The sequence below is a fragment of the Homo sapiens genome, chromosome 18 (assembly GCF_000001405.40).
Source record: "Homo sapiens chromosome 18, GRCh38.p14 Primary Assembly".
Lineage (NCBI taxonomy): Eukaryota > Metazoa > Chordata > Mammalia > Primates > Hominidae > Homo > Homo sapiens.
In genome coordinates, this window is record NC_000018.10 from 70022675 (window position 1) to 70041789 (window position 19115).

A 19115-nucleotide genomic window follows, 5' to 3' on the forward strand; every position below is an offset into this window, starting at 1 on the left:
AACATCAATACTGCTAAGTCCAACAGCCATTTTTTCTATCCTCACTTTAGCAGAATTTTCAATAGCATTCCACACAACTGAGCATGCCCTTCTCTGACTTTCTGTGACTGTGCACTGTTATCTCATTGGCTGCTCCTTCTCTTTTTTTTCTGCTGGTTTCTCATCTTTTGATTAACTCCAAATGTTGATGTGCCTCAGAACTTGGTCATGGGTTTCTGCTTCTCCATCTACACATTCTCCCTGGGTAATCGCAAACAGCCACGTGGCTTTAAGTACAATCTACATGACAATGACTCCTGTGGTAGCCAGCCTCCAAGATGGTCCCAGTGGCGCCTGCCTCTGTACCAGGGTTGGTATGTGTGACCCACAAGAGCTAGGAGTGCTGTTCAGTTACTTCTGAGACTGGATTATAAGAGACTATAACTTCTGCCCTCAGCCCACTCATTCTGGGTCGTTTGAGACAGCCCTAAGTAGCAAGGAATTGAGGCTCCCATAGTCACACTGGATCCTCTATCCCAGTCAAGACTTCAGATGATTGCAGAGACTCTGAGCGAGGACCACCCAGATTAGCCACGCCCAGATTCCTGAGCCACAGAAGCCGTGGCATAATGAAATGATTAATGTTTGCAGATGCTAAATTTTAGAGTAATTTCTTTTGTAGCAATAAATAACTAATAATATTCCCAACATTTGAAATCTTCAAACTTATCTCTACACTCCATTGAATTCAACTCCAGCTTACTATTTTCACTTGAGTGAACATCAACACCTTAGACTTAACAAGACCAAACAGAACTCTTGATTCCTACTACTTTCTCACTTCAAGTCTGCTTCTTTTAAATCTTCCCCATTTTAGTAAATGGCACTACTGTGCACTCAGGCTCATTTCTCCAAATGAAGTTCACCCCGGACACCTTTTTTTCCTTCCTACCTCCCACAACAGGTATCCTTGACTCTACCTTTGAGCTATATACTGAATCTGTCTACTTCTCTCAATCTCTCCAGCTACCACTCAAGCCCAAGCCACCATTATATCTCCATGACAAGTCTCCCTGCTTCTAGACTTGCTCCCAATCATTCATTCTCCACATACCACCCAGGGCAATTTTTCTTTTCTTTTCTTTGTGAGACAGAGTCTCACTCTGTTGCCCAGGCTGGAGTATAGTGGCGTGATCTCGGCTCACTGTAACCTCCGCTTCCTGGGTTCAAGTGATTCTCCTGCTTCAGCCTCCTGAGTAGCTGGAACTACAGGCATGCACCATCATGCCTGGCTAATTTTTGTGTTTTTAGTAGAGACAGGGTTTCCTCATGTTTGCCAGGCTAGTCTCAAACTCCAGACTTCAAGTGATCCGCCTGCCTGGGTCTCCCAAAGTGCTGGCATTACAGGCATGAGCCACTGCACCCAGCCTAATCCTTCTTAAACACAAATTAAATCATGCCACTCACCAGCTTACAACTGCCAATGTCATCCTGTTACACTCACATAAAAATCCAAACTCCCTACTCTGGCCTCTGAGGCCCTACATGACCTGTCCTCCTATCTCATTTCAGATCACTCTCACCAGAACTCACAATGCATGGCCCACCACAGGCTCTTGATAAAGTGTCTATCAAGTGCATGAGCGAAAGAGGAGCCCTAGTGATATCAAGTATCACCAGACCAACTGTTATGAGAACTTTCAACATGCCAGTCTCCTGCTCTAGAATCTATGAGAAGTTCTAACCTTCACGTGGCTTTTGAGGTCTTACATCATAATTTTTATCCTCTCAATTTTCCTACTAAACTCAATTTCCCATTGCCAGATAATCAGACCAGTCCTCCCTCTCTATTCCCTGCGCTGCCAATGACTCTCTCATGTCAACAAACACACTAAAATATCTGTCTGCTCTCATAATACCTACGAGAAAGCTTGCCTTTGCCCATCATATCCTCAATAAATCAGAGAAATACTTCAAAATATGTATTAGTTTTTCCAGTCCACCTTAACAACATTTATAAAACTAGTATTTTGGTATATTATTGAAAGGCAGTATTGGATCCTATTACCATTTGGAAAATTTGCAGTATAGACACAAAGGAGCTGCAGAGAAATTTGCATCAATGAATCATCCATCAAAATCCAAGGCCAGAGAGAGTGCAAGACAGGGACAAGGTGAGCTTCAAGAGCTGCTTCCTGTTGAAGGAAGGGAAAAAGACAGCATTAGTCTGAATATATGAAAATATAACATTAAAATCAAAACAACAACAGAAAGCCATCAACATAAGACCCAAGGAGAACCCTGTGGATGGCTTCAGCATCCTGCCCCAGCCCCATTGGGCTCCACACATGGCTGCCCTGACCACGAGCCTGACCAATCTCAGGACGTCGCTTCAACACCAGGGTGGTTAAGATGTACCACTAAGTTAGGAAGCATAGAAAATAGCCTGTGTAACATGTAAATTAAACAGCAAAGTGATATCTCACAACACTGAATAAATTCCTGTAAATGCTATGAACTGGCCAAGAAGTGAGAATTTCTGGTTAAGTAAACATTCTGATCAACTCTGAGTCCTCTTTGCCCACCCTCTCTCCCTCTCCTTCTCTCTCTCTGTGTATGTGTGTATATACTCAAAGTAAATTACAGTTTTTGAGTAATTTGAATATATAAAATTCAGTCTAAATATTATGATAAATTGAAAAATTCTGAAGTAACTCAGAGTCTTTATTACAAAGATCAGTTACCCTGGGACAATATTGCAGATAAAATATAGCTGTTTAAGTGCAGCAATATCTATTTTAAATGAACAAGAATTCCGAGGTAATTTGTAGACCCATGATTATGCACGTGAGCATGCACATAAATACACACACCCTATACGATTTCACATAGCATCAAGTGGCAGAAGAGAAGTGATTCCCAATGTTCAACACTCTCCGTAAGCACTGAAGTCATTCCCAGTGCTCTCCCTAAAGTTCTTCCCTTGTTCACCACTCTCTGTGGCACACGGCCCTCCATCTGCAGCAGATGACCTTGTTTACTATTTCACAGAGAAGACAGAAACGATTAAGTACAAACTCCTTTATCTACTCTGCCATTCTGTCCACATAGTTTATCTGTATTTTCATCCATTCATCCTTCCTGTCTGCCCGGTAGTGACAAAGAGGTGTTCCACTTCTTGCCTGCCAGAGATTGATACATCCATCTGTGTTCTGAAACACAGCTCTTCCTGCCTCCTCAGGGATCTTAATCCACCAGTTAGTTCTCCTCTTGCTATCTCTTAAACAACTCGTCCCCAATTTGCTCATTTCTGTGCCTGTATTCAAGTAGTTTACGTGTTAAGAGAAACAAACATACTCATTTCCTTTCATCTTATATGTCCTAAATTATTAATGCCACTATTCATGACCAAACTTCTACATTATTATTGCTGTAATTTCCCTGCCTCACATTTAATCTTTAGCTCATTACCGTTTATTTTCTGCCCTGATGATTCTATTGAGGCCGCTTCTACTTTTGTGGTTGCCAACAACGCTTAAGCACGGTGGCATTTGCTATATGTCTCTTAATTTCCCCGCTGCTGCTCTATCCTGGATCATTTCTGATAAGAGTCTGGATATTTGTCCCTGCCCAAATCTCATGTTGAATTGTAATCCCCAGTGCTAGAGGTGAGGCCTGGTGGGAGGTGTTTATATCTTGGGGGCGGATTCCTCATGGCTTGGTGCTTTCCTCAAGACAGTGAGTGATCTCATGAGATCTGGTCATTTAAAAGTGTGTGGTACCTCCTCGCCAGCTCTCTCACTCTTGCTCCAGTTCTAGTAATGTGATGTGCCTGTTCCCCTTTTGCCTTCTTGTCATGATTGGAAGTTTCCTGAGGCCTCCCCAGAAGCAGACGCCACTGTGCTTCCTCTATACCCTGCAGAACTGTGAGCCAATTAAACCTCTTTTCTTTAATAAATTACCTAGTCTCAGATATTTCTTCATAGCAAGGCAAGAACGGCCTAATGCAATCTCCAAATTCCTTCTCCAGTATTCCCTTCTCAGTTGTTTTCTGCCCCCTCTTAAATGTTCCTGTTTTCCAAAGATATGACCTTGGTTTTCATTACATACTTTCTTGGGAAATTTCAACAATAGTGAGGACCACAAACACCATCTACACATTGATAACTCCTAATATCCCCAGCTTGTATCACTCCTTAGAGTCCCAGACCCATAAAATCTACAGGCCACAAGCCATTTTTCACCTGGATGCCCCAAAGACTCTTGAGGCTAGCACGTGCAAGCATGAATATCGGGTCTCTCACACCTGTGCTCTGCTCTATCATGCACTCTTAATGCATGATAATGCAGTGGCTTAAACTGGAGTTTGGAAGTCATTCTACATTCCTCCTCTTCTCAATGCCTCAAATTTACTCCCTACCCTCCTTCTCCTTTCTACCTGCTCAAGTTAAGGTGTCATCATCTCTTGTCTGGACTATGACAGTCCCCTCCGTCTAACCTTGTCCACTGTTTAATTCATTTACCTCACAGCCACCATGCTCCTTCCAGTATGAAAACCCCTAATGTTATGCATATGCAAACAGCAGGGTGGGGTGGCAGTGGGTGACCTGGTGAATTACCCAATAGTGGCCAACTATTAATAATGAGAACATGCCATACACCTGATAAAAGCTGAAATTGAAATTAACAATCCCTACCTCCATAATATTATATTTATACTCAAGGATAATCTTAATATTCTTTGGATTTACTTCTTATTAAACAACTTAGAAATACAGAAATGCTTTGACTTATTGAGATATCACACTTTTGTAAATGGCTAATGTGATACAAATTGAGCACAATATTTATAACTAGTAGCCAGGTTAGCACTTCATAAATCTTTATAGGTAGATCCCACATGTAAAGTATTCCAGAGTATTTCCCTGAATAAGGTGTCATGAATGAATATTAACTGCACATACACATGAAATTTATATATTTAAATTTACACACAAATACTGACTGTACATCCAGTCACAAGCATAATATCATAAGCATGAAGGAATCATTAAGTTTATTAATGGCACTTTTGTCTTGAGAAAAAGTTCATATAAATTCATATATAGGGAATTTTAATAAATTGTATAAATAAATACTTAATTTCCATCAAACTACTTTGAAATATAAATTGTGAGTCATGTATCTGGCTTTTTAACATCGCTTAAGGAGTAAGTGTGTTCAACATGTCCATTTTCCAGATGTGGTATGGTTTTTCCAGTTGTGCTCTTACCACAAGTAAGAGCAAAACAGGTAAAAATTTATAAGGCAATAAAAGCTTCCATAATTTATCTTTGCTTTCTATATTAAAGCTTTAATTTAGTATTTTTTAAAATTTTTATTTTCGTGGCCAGCTTTTATAAAGAATAATCTAGTATTTCTGCATTAAAGCATCAATCTAGTATTTCAAAAGTGTTGTAAAACTATAGACAAAGCAAATCAGAGTGTTCACAAGATTATATCCTCTATAGTAGTACTGATACAATGGTTTAAAACATCATCAGTGCTTACAGACGAAGCAAAACATCTCAGTGATTTTTAGACAGAAGGGCCATGTAAATGGTCACAGGGAGTCAGCAGAGCTAGAAGAAACTTCCTCTCGGTGGATGTGGCCACACTAGGTAGCAGCTCTAACTATCTTCTCCTTTGAAGCAGGAAACTCTTCATTTTCTTTCCTTATAGATACAGATAGCTTCACTTATTTCCTTGAAGAGTTGTTTTGACAACCCGTTTTGAAAGAATCTACCTTATAAAACACATCCAGCCATTCATTCCATATGTAAAACATTTAAAATACCTAAGAGTACAGAATGAGGCTGAAGTTTGCGAAGAAATGTAATCAGTGTCGATGAATAATGATTAGATACACACATTTCTGACAATTAACACTGAGTTTAAGGACCAATCAACTGTGTGTCTAAAAATTTAAAAGTCAGAGCTTTCCATTTTTCCTACTACATTATCTCACATAAAAATTAAACTGCTTAATACCAGTACTCCTATTAAAATTTTGAAAAGTAGTTCTACTTACTTTACATTCCTCATTTTGATAAAGACAGTTTCTTAGGAGCTGCATGGCAATGCTTAACTCTTTAATAACACCATCCTCCTATTTAAACAAAAAGCAGTTGAAAACTGTGAATGCAACAGCATACTTCACTTTTTGTGTATAGTAATTCCCTCCCCTTTGGGTCACGGGACAATGCAGGTGTGCTCTAATCATGCCCAACCACTGTAACTTTGAGGGAACTGACAGGCTAACGATCTCTGAAAGATGACCATATCTCAAGAAGCACATTCACCATGAAAAAGCTATTTCTGTTCTATCAAGCATGGAGGAACTCGGATATATGATAGCCTCCATGTTTCATCTCAATAAAGTGAGGCAGATACTGAGAGATTTTCAATAATATCAGGTGTTGGCTGACTTTCTCAATGATGAAGGGCCTTTGGCTAGGGAGGAAAAGAGGCAAAAAAAAAAAAAAAAAGAACTGATAAACATACAATCAATCTCCTGCATCAATTACATTATTAAATAAGACTTTGTCTTGGTTTCTTAAATGCAGTAGAAACTAGTTATTACATAGAGTGCTGCTATAACGGCCTTACCTACACACATATATGTATATTTATATATTTATACTATTCACACACTTTCATTTGTTGAATAAGTGGGTGGCAGATCTTGTTAACCACAGTAGTTATTATATAACTATGTTATTTTCAGTTTACCTGAGCATGCAGTTTAAACATGAGTCCAGCAGATTCAATGCTAGAGGAGATATTCAGAAGGCACAGGAGGAGATAAACAGAGATGAGGAATACCAGCTCTGCAACCACCCAGATTTGGGGCAAATATTAGCTCCATCAATTACCAGTTGTGTGACTATGCTGTAATGAGTGTTTGTTCATGAGATAATAAATATGAAATGTTTCAATAGTGGCTGACATATAGAAAACTCTTAATAAATTATAGTTGTTACAGATCTCATTCCTAGTTAACCTATGCTTGTTTTGAGATAAAGATTTTCTTTTTGTAGTATAAAAAATTTATCTGGCATAGTATCATGTATATGTGGATATTTCCAATGTTTATAATAACAACAGTACATAATAGACAGATGTTGTCTAAAGATCTTCAAGTAAGAATTAAGACCAAAAAAAGCCAACAATCTGCTAATGTAGAAGTCTCATTAATTTATCCATCTGTACCTTTCTTCTAAATGAGACACTCATTTCAAGCTCGTGCTCATTTCTAGGCACAAGAGGACTGGAGAATGGTCTCTATATATAGCCATTCATTTATCCCAGAATGTTACCTTTTTTTTCAATGCTGCTTTCCCAGGCCTCAGAGAATCTAGGTTCAGTTGTGCATTTATGTGTTTCATCTGCTCCATGCAATTGTCTATAAGATTGGCTGAAAGACAAAATCTGCAGTAGTCAAAAGGATATTCTATTTCCAAGTAAGTTATAACCACATATACCAATCAGATTCTCAAAAAGGTAACATTTTCTATTTCTGACCCACTTCATTTTAGAATTTTCAGTCAGAGATTAATGAATCAGAGGGGGGATAAGTAAGAGAACTAAAATGCTGAAGTCCACTTGTTTTCAGTTTTTAGTAAGATACTACCCAAATCCAATTTACAACTTGAGGAATACATCATTTGTTGTAGTCGCAAATCACAATTGATATTAATGGACTTGATGTTGCCATTATTCTCTTTTAATTCTCAGATCTACATTCTCCGATTCCCAAATGAGAAATTACAACACTCAAGAGGGAAATTTATACGAAAATATGGAATCATCTGTTGCTGTTTTTACCATCAAAACTATGTGGGTTTTGTTCAGGTATGCAGTGAGTGCTTCTGGATAGTAATATTTAATTATAATGAAACTCAATGTGTTACCTTTTAGCTTCCCTAATATTTACATATAGGTTCTTTAGAGCAAGAACCATCACATATTAAACAAACAAAAACAAACTATGTCTAATCTTTTTATTTGAAAAGTAATGCATATTTACTGCTTCTGTATGGGAAAAAAAATTATTTTTAGTGACACTGAGATTATACTATACGTTTTTTACATTTTGAGTCCAAAGAAAATTAACTTGAACAAGCAACAAAACATATGAATTGATAATGCCATCAAAACAGCTGATGTGTCATGTGGCTCACCTTTCAAAGCATGTTTCTGTGCTCTTCTACTGACAGCCAGCAGTGACATCAATGCATTTGCAGCTACTCTTTTCAGGATATCTTTGGAGGATTTCCCTTCATAGCACTGCAGAGAATATAAATCAAACTGCCTTGAAGAAATATTTAATCTGGAGCAAAACTGTTGTGAATAAAGAACATTTTCTACTTAAAAGATATTGCTAGGTTTCAACTATCATGTGAAATTCACTGGATTTTGATAAATCATTAATATTTGAGAATGTTCTGCGTGGATAAGACTGTATAAGTTGCTTATAATATGGAAAAGAACAACAATCATTCTTAAAGACTCATCATCTACAGAAAAAAGCTTTATTTAGCTTTCACGTAGCAAGCTCATATACTTACTCAAATTCACCAGCGCATATTGTATATATATGTGTGTACCTTATTAAAATGGGTCCTTGTAAAACTGCTGAACAGGAGAACTGTCATCAATTTCCTCCTTTCTCCTTCTGGGGACACATTCCCCTCTCTCCATTTCTATCTAAACTACCCCTATATCTCAGGTGATTTGGTTCTTTCCATCTTTCGTTTCTATGGTAACATGCACCTGTCATATAACATTTTCTCAAAAAATAGTGTGTAACTTTTTTGACTTTCAGAGAAATGGAAAATCATTTGTAATTCCGAAACTACTATTTCTGTATATTTCCTTTATACATTTAAATTTATGAGCTAGAAAAATTTTCACTTAAAAATTTCTAATATGTACAAAAGCAGACACAATAACAGATTCCATACATTTTTATTAAAAATCAAAACTAGAAATTTCTGCTCCAAGATGGCCAACTAGATACAGCCAGGAGGAACATCTCCCACTGAGGGACTGGGACACCAGGAAGACTGGCACACTCCTAGCAGATCTTCAGAGGGAGGGCATCGAGAGCAGATGGAGGGAAAACACAGAGCTGGGGCTGAAGGGGGAGGAAGCTGGGGACCCTGCTCGGGGCTACCAAGCACCACAACTTGTTCCTGGCCCCCAACAACTCCTGCAGAGGGGGAAGTTGAAAAGGCAAGGAACAAAATTCGCTCTCCCCACAGGCCGCTGGAATCCTGGTAGGAAGGAACCCCTGGACCACCATGGACATTTGAGTTGTCAGGGAAAGCTGCTTAGGGAAGCAGTGGAAGCAGAACTCCAGCTGGGGCAGAGCCCAGAGAGTTTGGTATGGGAGTGTCTATAGCGGAGCATGGCCAAGGATGCCCATCCCCTTAGGCTAGACTTGCTCCCATAGGAGACTTTATCCCTAGGGGAACTGTGGGACCTCAACTCTGCAGGGTGGTCTTGCCCATGAGATGGGGCCAATCTGGTCCACCCTTTGGTCTGCTGGCTTCTCCCAGAGCCCGAGCCTAGCCACACCTGCTTGGAGTGAAGCTCCCAGGTACGGGCCCATACGGTAGCTCCTGCACTGGCAGACTGCCTGACTAGCAGAGTGCTCTAGCAGAGTGACCCCAGTGGACACGCACCAGCATTCTTCCCCCACTGCAGCCTCCTTCATGCCGCCTTGCCTGCAGGCACTCACCCATCTCATGCAATGACACACATAGGCTCAAAATAAAGGGATGGAAAAAGGCTACCAAGCAATGAAAAACAGAAAAAAGCAGGGATTGCAATTCTAATTTCAGACAAAATAGACTTTAAACCAACAAAGATAAAAAAGACAAAGAAGGGCATTACAAATAGTAAAGGACTCAATTCAACAAGGCAACCTAGCTATCCTAAATATATATGCACTAAACACAGAAACATCCAGATTCATAAAGCAAGTTCTTAAGAGATCTTCAAAGAGATTTAGACTCCCATAGGGTAACGTGGGAGACTTCAACACCCCATTGACAGTATTAGACAGATAATCCAGGCAAAAAATTAACAAAGATATTCAAGACCTGAACTCAACACTGGACCAAATGGATCTGATAGACATCTACAGAACTCCCCACCAGAATACAACAGAGTATACATTCTTCTCATTGCCACATGGCACATACTCTAAAATCAACCACACAATCAGACACAAAACAAATTTCCGCAAATTCAAAAAAATCAAAATTGTACTGATATGGTTTGGATCTGTGTCCCCACCCAAATCTCATGTTCAACTGTAGTCCCCAATGTTGGGAACTGGATCATTGGGGTAGATCCTTCATGAATGGTTTAGCACCGTCCCTTTGGTTCTGTTCCTGTAACAGAGTTCTCGTGAGATCTGGTTGTTTAAAAGTGTGTGGCATCTTGCCCCTCTCTCTTCCTCCTGCTCCCACCATGTGAGATGCCTCGCTCCCCCTTCTGCCATAATTGAAAGTTTCCTGAGGCCTTCCCAGAAGCTGAGTAGATGCCAGCACTATGCTTCCTTACAGCCTGTGGAACCATGAGCCAATTAAACCTCTTTTCTTTATAAATTACTCCGTGTCAGGTATTTCTTTACAGCAATGTAAGAATGGTCTAATACATATACCATCCACACTCTCAGACCACAGCACAATAAAAACAGAATTCAATACAAAGAAAATTGCACAAAACCATTCATTTACATTGAAATTAAGCATCCTGCTCCTGAATAACTTTTGGGCAAATAATGAAATTAAGGCAGAAATCAGTAAGTTCTTTGAAACTAATGAGAACAATGATAACATACCAGAATCTCTGGGACACAGCTAAGGCAGTGTTAACAGGAAAATTTTGAGCGCTAAATGCCCATATTGAAAAGTTAGGAAGATCTCAAGTTTGCACCTAACATCACAACTAAAAGAACTAGAGAAGAAAGAGCAAACCAACCCCAAAGCTAGTAGAACACAAGAAATAATCAGAATCAGAGCTAAAGGAGACTGAGACATGAAAAACCATTCAAAAGACCAATGAAGTGAGGAGCCAGTTTTTTGAAAAAAATAATAAAATATATGGACCACTAGGCTAGATTAATGAAGAAACGAGAAAAGATCCAAATAAACATAATGAGAAATGACAAAGGGGATATTACCACTGACCCCAGAGAAATAAACATCAGAGACGATTATAAACACTTCTATGCACACAAACTAAAAATCTAGAAGTGGATGAATTCCTGGCCACATATATCCTCCCAAGACTGAACCAGGAAGAAACTGAATCCCTGAACAGACCAACAATGAGCTCTAAAATGGAATCAGAAATAAATAGCCTGCACACCATAAAAGCCATGGATCAGATGGATTGACAGCCAAATTCTACCAGATCTATAAAGAAGAGCTGATACCATTCTTACAGACACTGTTCCCCAAAAAAATGAGAAGTAGGAACTCCTCCTCAATTCATTCTATGAGGCTAGCATCATCCTGACCCAAAACTGGCAGAGACACAACAACAAAAAAAAGGGTCAATATCCTTGATGAACAGCAATGCAAAAACCCTCAACAACATACTAGCAAACTGAATCCAGCAGCACATCAAAAAGCTAATCCACTACGAACAAGAAGGCTTTATCCCTAGGATGCAAGGTTGGTTCAACATACGTGCAAACAAATAAACATGATTCATCACATAAACAGAACTAGAAACAAAAATAACACGATTATCTCAACAGAGGCTTTCAGTAAAATTCAACATCTTTTCATATTAAAAACTCCTAACAAATTAGGTATTGAAGTAACATATATTAAAATAACGAGAGCCATCTATGACAAACCTGCTGTCTACATCATACTGAATGGGCAAAAGCTAGAAGCAATCCCCTTGAAAACTGGCACAAGACAAGGATGCCCTCTTTCACCATTCCTATTCAACACGGTACTGGAAGTTCTGGCCAGGGCAATCAGGCAAGAGAAGGAAATAAAGGGCATCCAAATAGGAAGAGAGGAAGTCAAATTATCCCTGTTTGCAGATGACATGATCCTATATCTAGAAAACCCCATCGTCTCAGCCCAAAAGCTCCTTAAGCTGATAAACAATTTTAGCAAAGTCTCAGGATACAAAATCAATGTGCAAAAGTCACTAACATTCCTATATACCAACAATCAAGCCGAGAGGCAAATCAGGAATGCAATCCCATTCACAACTGCCACCAAAACAAAACAAAATAAAATAAAACAAAATGCAATACCTAGGAATACAGCTAACCAGGGAGGTGAAAGATCTCTACAAGGAGAAATACAAAACACTGCTGAAAGAAATCAGTGGTGACACGAATGAATGGAAAAACATTCCATGAACATGGCTAGGAAGAATCAACATTGCTAAAATGGCCATACTGCCCAAAGCAATTTGTAGATTCAATACTATCCCTATCGAACCACCAATCACATTCTTCATAGAACTAGAAAAAACTTTTAAAATTCATATGGAACCAAAAAAGAGCCCAAATCGCCAAGGCAATTCTAAGCAAAAAGAAAAAAGCTGGAGGCATCAAGCTACTTGACTTCAAACTATACTACAGGGCTACAGTAACCAAAGCATGGTAATGGTATAAAAAATAAACACATAGACCGATGGAACAGAATACAGAGCCTAGAAATAAGGGTGTACACCTAGAACCATCTGACCTTAGACAAACCTGACAAAAACAAACAATGGGGAAAGAACTCCCTGTTCGATAAATGGTGCTGGGATAACTGACTAATTATATACATACATTGAAACTGGACCCCTTCCTTACATATATACAGAAATAAACTGAAGATGGATTAAAGACTTAAATATAAACCCCAAAACTATTAAAACGCTGGAAGACAACCTAGGCAATACCATTCTGGACACAGAAAGTGGCAGAGATTTCATGATGAAAATGTGAAAAGCAACTGCAACAAAAGCAAAAATTGACAAATGAAATCTAATTAAACTAAAGCGTGTCTGCACAGCAAAAGAAACTATCAACAGAGTAAACAGACAACCTACAGAATGGGAGAAAATATCTGCAAACTATGCATCAGACAAAGGTCTAATATCCAGCAACTACAAGGAACTTAAATTTACAAGAAAAAAACAACCCCATTAAGAAGTGGGCAAAGGACACAAACAGACACTTCTCAAAAGAAGACATACACATTGCCAACAAGCACATGAAAAAAAGCTCAACATCACTGATCATTAGAGAAATGCAAATCAAAGCCACAGTAAGATACCATCTCACACCAGTCAGAATGGCTACTAAGAAGTCAAAAAATAACACACGCTGATGAGGTTGTGGAGAAAAGGGAATGCTTATACACAGTGGGAGTGCAAATTAGTTCAACCATTGGGAAGGCAGTGTGGTGATTCCTCAACAAGCTAAAAAAAGGACTGCAATTCAACCCTATAATCTCATTACAGGGTATACACCCAAAGGAATATAAATCATTCTATCATAAAGACACATGAATACAAATGTTCACTGCAGCACTATCTGCAATGGTAAAGACATGGAATCAACTTAAATGCCCATCAATGGAAAACTGGATAAAGAAAATGTGGCACATATACACCATGGAATACTATGCAGCCATAAAAAAGAGTGAGATCATGTCCTCTGCATGAACATGGTTGGAGCTCGAGGCCATGATCCTTAGGAAACAATGCAGGAACAGAAAACCAAATACTGCTTGTTCTCACTTATAAGTAGGAGCTAAATGATGAGAGCACCGGGACACAAAGAGGGGAACAATAGACAATGGGGCCTACCAGTGGGTGAAGGGTAGCAGGAGGGAGAGGATCAGAAAAAATAACTATTGGGTACCAGGCTTAGTACCTGGGTGATGAAATAATCTATACACCAAACCCCCATGATACAAGTTTACCTATATAACAAACCTACACATGTACCCCGAACCTAACAGTTAAAAAAGAATCGGCTGGGTGAGTGCAGCAAGGTGGCAGAATAGAAGCCTATACTGTCTGTCCTCCCCCAACAGGAACACCAAATTTTAACAACTATATGCACACAGAAAAGCACCGTCACGAGAACCAAAAATCAGGTGAGCAATCACAGTACCTGGTTTTAATGTGTACGGCTAAAAGAGGAACTGAAAAGTGTCGGAGATATAGTCTTGAATCACCACCCCTCCCCTATCTATCAGCAGCAGCTGCCTGGTATGGCGAGCTAACTTGCACACTTGGAGGAGGGAGAGAGCAGCGACTGGGGGACTTCACACTGAATTCAGTGCTGCTCTGTCACAGTGGAGAGCAAAGCTGTGCTGGGCTCAGCCAACACCCATGCATGGAGAGATCATTTAGATCAACTGCCCAAACCAGCAGTCAGAAGTGGAGTTTCTTGGCAAGCCTTGCCACCGTAAAGCCAGTGCTCTGGGGTCCTAGGTAAACTTGAAAGGCAGTCTTGGACACAAGGCCTGCAATTCCTAGGCAACTCCTAGTATTAGGCTGGGCTTAGAGCCACTGGACTATGGTGGCATGTGACACAGGGAGACAACAGCCAGGGCAGCTAAGGGAGGCCTTACACCATTTCTCCCTCAATCCCAGGCAGTGCGGCTCGCAGCAACAAAAGTGACTCCTTCCTTCTACTTGAGGAAGAGAGTAAACAAGACTTTGTCTTGCATCTTAGATACCAGCTCAGTCACAATAGAACAGGGCACTGGGCAGAGTTGTGAGACCTCCATTCCAGGCCCATTCCTGGATGACAAAATAGACAAAATGTGGGCCAAGGGAACCCACTGCCTTGAAGGGAAGAAACCAGTCCTGGCAGGATTCATTACTTGCTGACTAAAGAGCCCTCAGGCCCTGAATAACCAGCAGCAATATCCAGATAGTACACCACAGGCCTTGGGCTCTGGGACGTGCTGACTTTAGGTATGACCCAGCACATTCGCAGCTGTGGTGGCTACAACAAAAGACTCCTTTTGTTTGAGAAAAGCAGAGGGGAAAGTAAAGGGGACTTTGTCTTGCATCTTAGGTATCAGCTCAGCCACAGTGGGTAGAGCAACAAGTAGGCTCTTGGGCTCCCTGAATCCAGGCCGAGCCTCTTGGACAGTATTTCTGGACCATCTCTGGGCCAGAGGGGAACTGATTGTCCTGAAGGGTGAGCCCCAGGTCTGGCAACATTCGTCACAGAATGACAGAAGTGCCCTTGGGCTCTAAGTGAACATTGGCAGCAGCGTGGTAGAACTCCCATGGGACCGTGGTATTGGTGGCCAAAAGGAGAGTCTCCTTTTCCTGTGGAAAGGGGAGAGAAGAGCAGAAAGGACCCAGTATTGTGGTTTGAGTGCCAGGTTAGTCACATTAGAATAGAACATCAGGTAAAATTCTAAGGTTTTTGACTCTAATCCCTGGCTCACAGATAGCATCTCTGGACCTGCTCAGGGTCTGGGGGAACTTACTGCTCTGAAGGGAAGGACAGAAACCTGGCTGGCTTTGTCACCTACTGATTATGAAGTCCTAGGGCCTTGAGTGAACACAGGTAAGCAGGTAGCGACTGCAGTGGGCTTGAGAGAAACCCAGTGTTGTGTTGACATCAGGACTAATCCAGTGCAGTTCCAGTGGTGGTAGCCACAGGGATGCTAATATCACCACATCCCCAGTTCCAGGCTGCTCAGTATATAGAGAGAGACTCTGTTTGTTTGGGAGAAAGTAAGGTAAAAGAACAAGAGTCTTTGCCTGGTAATCTGGAGAATTCTTCCAGATCTTATCCAAGACCACCAAGGCAGTACCTCTACAAGTCTGCAAGAAACGAAGTGTTATTGGGCTTAAGGTCCAATTCCCTTGGAATGCCTGGGAAGCCTCCTCAAGGAGGACACACACAAACAAGCCCAGACTGCAAAGACTAAAACAAATACCTAACTCTTCAATGTCCAGATATTGACGAACATCTAAAAGCATCAAGATCATCCAGGAAAAAATGACCCCACCAAATGAACTAAAATAAGGCATCAGAGACCAAGCGTGGAGAAACAAGAGATATGTGAACTTTCAAACAGAGAATTCAAAATTGCTGTGGTAGGGGAGCTCAAAAGAAATTCAAAATAAGAGAAGGAATTCAGAATTTTATCAGATAAATTTAACAGAGAGATTTAAATAATTAAGAAGAATGAAACAGAAATTCTGGAGTTTAAAAATTCAATTGGCATACTGACAAATACATCAGTCTCATATTAGTAGAGCTGACCAAGTAAAAGAAAGAATTAGTAAACTTGAAGGCAAGCTATTTGAAAACACAGAGTCAGGGGAAGGAGATAAAAGAAAAATGAGAATAAAGAAGAATGAAGCATGCCTATAAAACCTAAAAAATAGCCTCGAAAGGGCAAATTTAAGACAAAGAGATAGTGGTAGAAAGTTTATTCAAAGGGATAATATCAGAGAACTTACAAAACTTAGAGAAAGATCAATATTCAAGTACAAGAAGGTTAGAGACCACCAAGCAGATTTAACCCAAAGAAGACATTTAAGATATTTCATAATCAAACTCCTAAAGGTCAAGGATAAAGAAAAGATCCTAAAAGCAGCAAGAGAAAAGAAACAACATACAATGGACCTCCAATATATCTGGAAATGTTACAGGTCACGAGAGAGTGGCATGACATATTTCAAGTGCTGCAGGGAAAAAAAAAAAGAAAAACAACAAAAAAACTTTACCCTAGAATAGTACATACGATGAAACTATCCTTCAAGTATGAAGAGAAATAAAAACCTTAGACAAACAAAAGCTGAAGGATTTCAACAACACTAGACCTGTCCTACAAGAAATAGTAAAGTGAGTTCTTCAATCTGAAATAAAAGGATGTTCGTGAGCAAGAAGAAATCATCTGATGTTACAAAACTCACTGGTAATAGTAAGCACGCAGAAAAACAGAGACTATTGTAACACTGTAATGGTGTTGTGTAAACTACTCTTATCTTAAGTAGAGAGTCTAAATTATGAACCAATCGAAAATAATAACTACAGCAACTTTTTAAGACAAAGACAGTACAATAAGACATAAAGAGAAACAACTAAAAGTTAAAAAGCAGGGGAGATAAAGTTAAAGTGTAGAGTTTTTATTAGTTTTCTTTTGCATGTGTGCTTGTTCATGCCATCAGTACTAAGCTGTCATTAGTTTAAAATAATGGGCTATAAGAAGGTATTTGCAAGCCTCATCATGGTAACCTTTTACCAAAAAGGATACAAATGGAGACACAAAAACTAAGAAGAAATTAACATACCACCAAAGAAAATCATCTTCACTAAAAGAAAGACAGAAGGAATTAAAGAATGAGATCACAAAACAATTAGAAAACAAATAACAAAACGGCAGAAGGCAGTCCCTACTTGTCAATAACAACATTCAATGTAAATGGACTATGGACTAAACTCTACAATAAAAACACACACAGTGGCTGAAGGGATGAAAAAACAATGCCCACTTATCTGTTGCCTACAAGAAACATATTTCACCAATAAAAATATATACAGACTGAAAATAAAGGGATGGAAAAAGACATTCCATGCCAATGAAAACAAAAAAAAAATTGGGAGTAGCTATACTTAGACAAAATAGATGTCAAAACAAAAACTGTAAGGACAGACAAAGAAGATCATTATATAATGATAATGCAGTCAATGCAGCAAGAGGATACAATGATTGTGAGTATATATGTACCCATCACTGGAGCACTGAGATACATAAAGCAAATATTAGAACTAAAGAGAGAGCGAGATCTCAAGACGATAATGGCTGGAGACTTCAACACCCTACTTTCAGCATTGAACAGACAGATCTTCCAGAAAGAAAATCACCAAAGAAACACTGGATTTAATCTGCACTAAAGACCAAACGGACCTAATAGATATTTACCGAACATTTCATCTAATGGCTGCAGAATACACATTCTTCTCCTCAGCATATGGATCATTCTGTAGGATATTCCATATGTTAGGTTCACAAAACAAGTCTTAAAACATTCAAGAAATTGAAATAATATCAAGCATCTTCTATGACCAGAGTAGAATAAAACTGGAAATCAATAACAAGAGGAATTTTGGAAACTATACAAACATATGAAAATTAAACAATATGCTCCTGAATGTCCAGTGGGTTAATGAAAAAATTAAGAAGAAAATTGAAAAATTTCTTGAAACAAATGATAATGGGGCCAGGTGTGGTGGCTCACGCCTTGTAATCCCAGCCCTTCGGGAGGCCAAGGTGGACGGAACACCTGAGGTCAGGAGTTCGAGACCAGTTTGGCCAACAAACATGCGAAAAATATAAAAATTAGCTGGGCACGGTGGCAAGCGCCTGTAATCCCAGCTTCTTGGGAGGCTTGAGGCAGGAGAATCACTTGAACTTGGGAGGCAGAGGTTGCAGTGAGCTGAGATCGGGCCACGCTGCACTCCAGCCTGGGTGACAGAGTGAGACTCTGTCTCAAAAATAAATAAATAAATAAAAATAAAAAATAAAATAAAAATAAAAAATTGCTCACTAGCAATTGGGAGCAGGGTTGGGTCGGAGTTAAGACTCCTAAGGAAATAGTTGTGTGCACAGATATGTCTTTTATTCCCTCCTGAAATCCCATTAAAATGACAAAAATGGGATTGCACACACACACACACACACACAAGCCTGAAAACGAGAAAGCAGATGGATGAGAGGCAAGTGTATTAGGCTTGGGAAACTTGAATTCTAAGTGGTGAGTGGGGAAAGCTGAAAACTACCCCAATCTATCCACTGAAGTGCCCAAGGCTGAAGAAATTTAGCACCAGGCATCCCTGGACGTGAGGATGAAGGATTGCTTCAAGTCTCTAAAATGCAGTTACATGCCCAGATCCTGCCCGCCAGCCACCAGTTTCTATGTAACTAAGCCACTCTTCCTCCCAGCCCTTGCAAAATCCCGGATGCTTAGTCTCTGGAGAGGATAAATTAGGATTCTGAACTGGCAGAGACAGGAAAATTTGTGGGCAAGGGTATTCTACTAAAACCTTTGAAGGATTAAGTGAAATTGTGCAA

The 19115-nt window shown here is 39.7% G+C and overlaps 1 protein-coding gene across 15 annotated transcripts in view, besides 3 other annotated features; it reads right to left on the reverse strand.

The window, feature by feature from the left end:
• The window catches only part of RTTN (rotatin), a 202657-nt gene that overhangs the window by 19644 nt on the left and 163898 nt on the right, over positions 1–19115 (reverse strand). For 13 of the 15 annotated variants that reach the window (NM_001318520.2, XM_047437468.1, XM_017025693.2 and 10 more), the window contains 4 exons: positions 8202–8307; positions 7338–7435; positions 6050–6127; positions 2048–2174 (listed from right to left, as the gene is read on the reverse strand). In NM_001318520.2, the coding sequence (NP_001305449.1) occupies positions 2048–2174; positions 6050–6127; positions 7338–7435; positions 8202–8307 (409 nt within the window). Of the gene's footprint in view, positions 1–2047; positions 2175–6049; positions 6130–7337; positions 7436–8201; positions 8308–19115 lie in introns of those variants that run through there. The other 2 variants (XR_430072.4, XM_011525905.3) reach the window with 2 other exon arrangements.
• Positions 2323–2372: a silencer, noted in NCBI's record as "silent region_9538". NCBI's record gives its function as "represses an Ori minimal core promoter by ATAC-STARR-seq in GM12878 lymphoblastoid cells {active_cell/tissue: GM12878}" and the evidence as "EXISTENCE:reporter gene assay evidence [ECO:0000049][PMID:35858748]".
• Positions 2383–2442: a silencer, noted in NCBI's record as "silent region_9539". NCBI's record gives its function as "represses an Ori minimal core promoter by ATAC-STARR-seq in GM12878 lymphoblastoid cells {active_cell/tissue: GM12878}" and the evidence as "EXISTENCE:reporter gene assay evidence [ECO:0000049][PMID:35858748]".
• Positions 14222–14631: an enhancer, noted in NCBI's record as "active region_13481". NCBI's record gives its function as "activates an Ori minimal core promoter by ATAC-STARR-seq in GM12878 lymphoblastoid cells {active_cell/tissue: GM12878}" and the evidence as "EXISTENCE:reporter gene assay evidence [ECO:0000049][PMID:35858748]".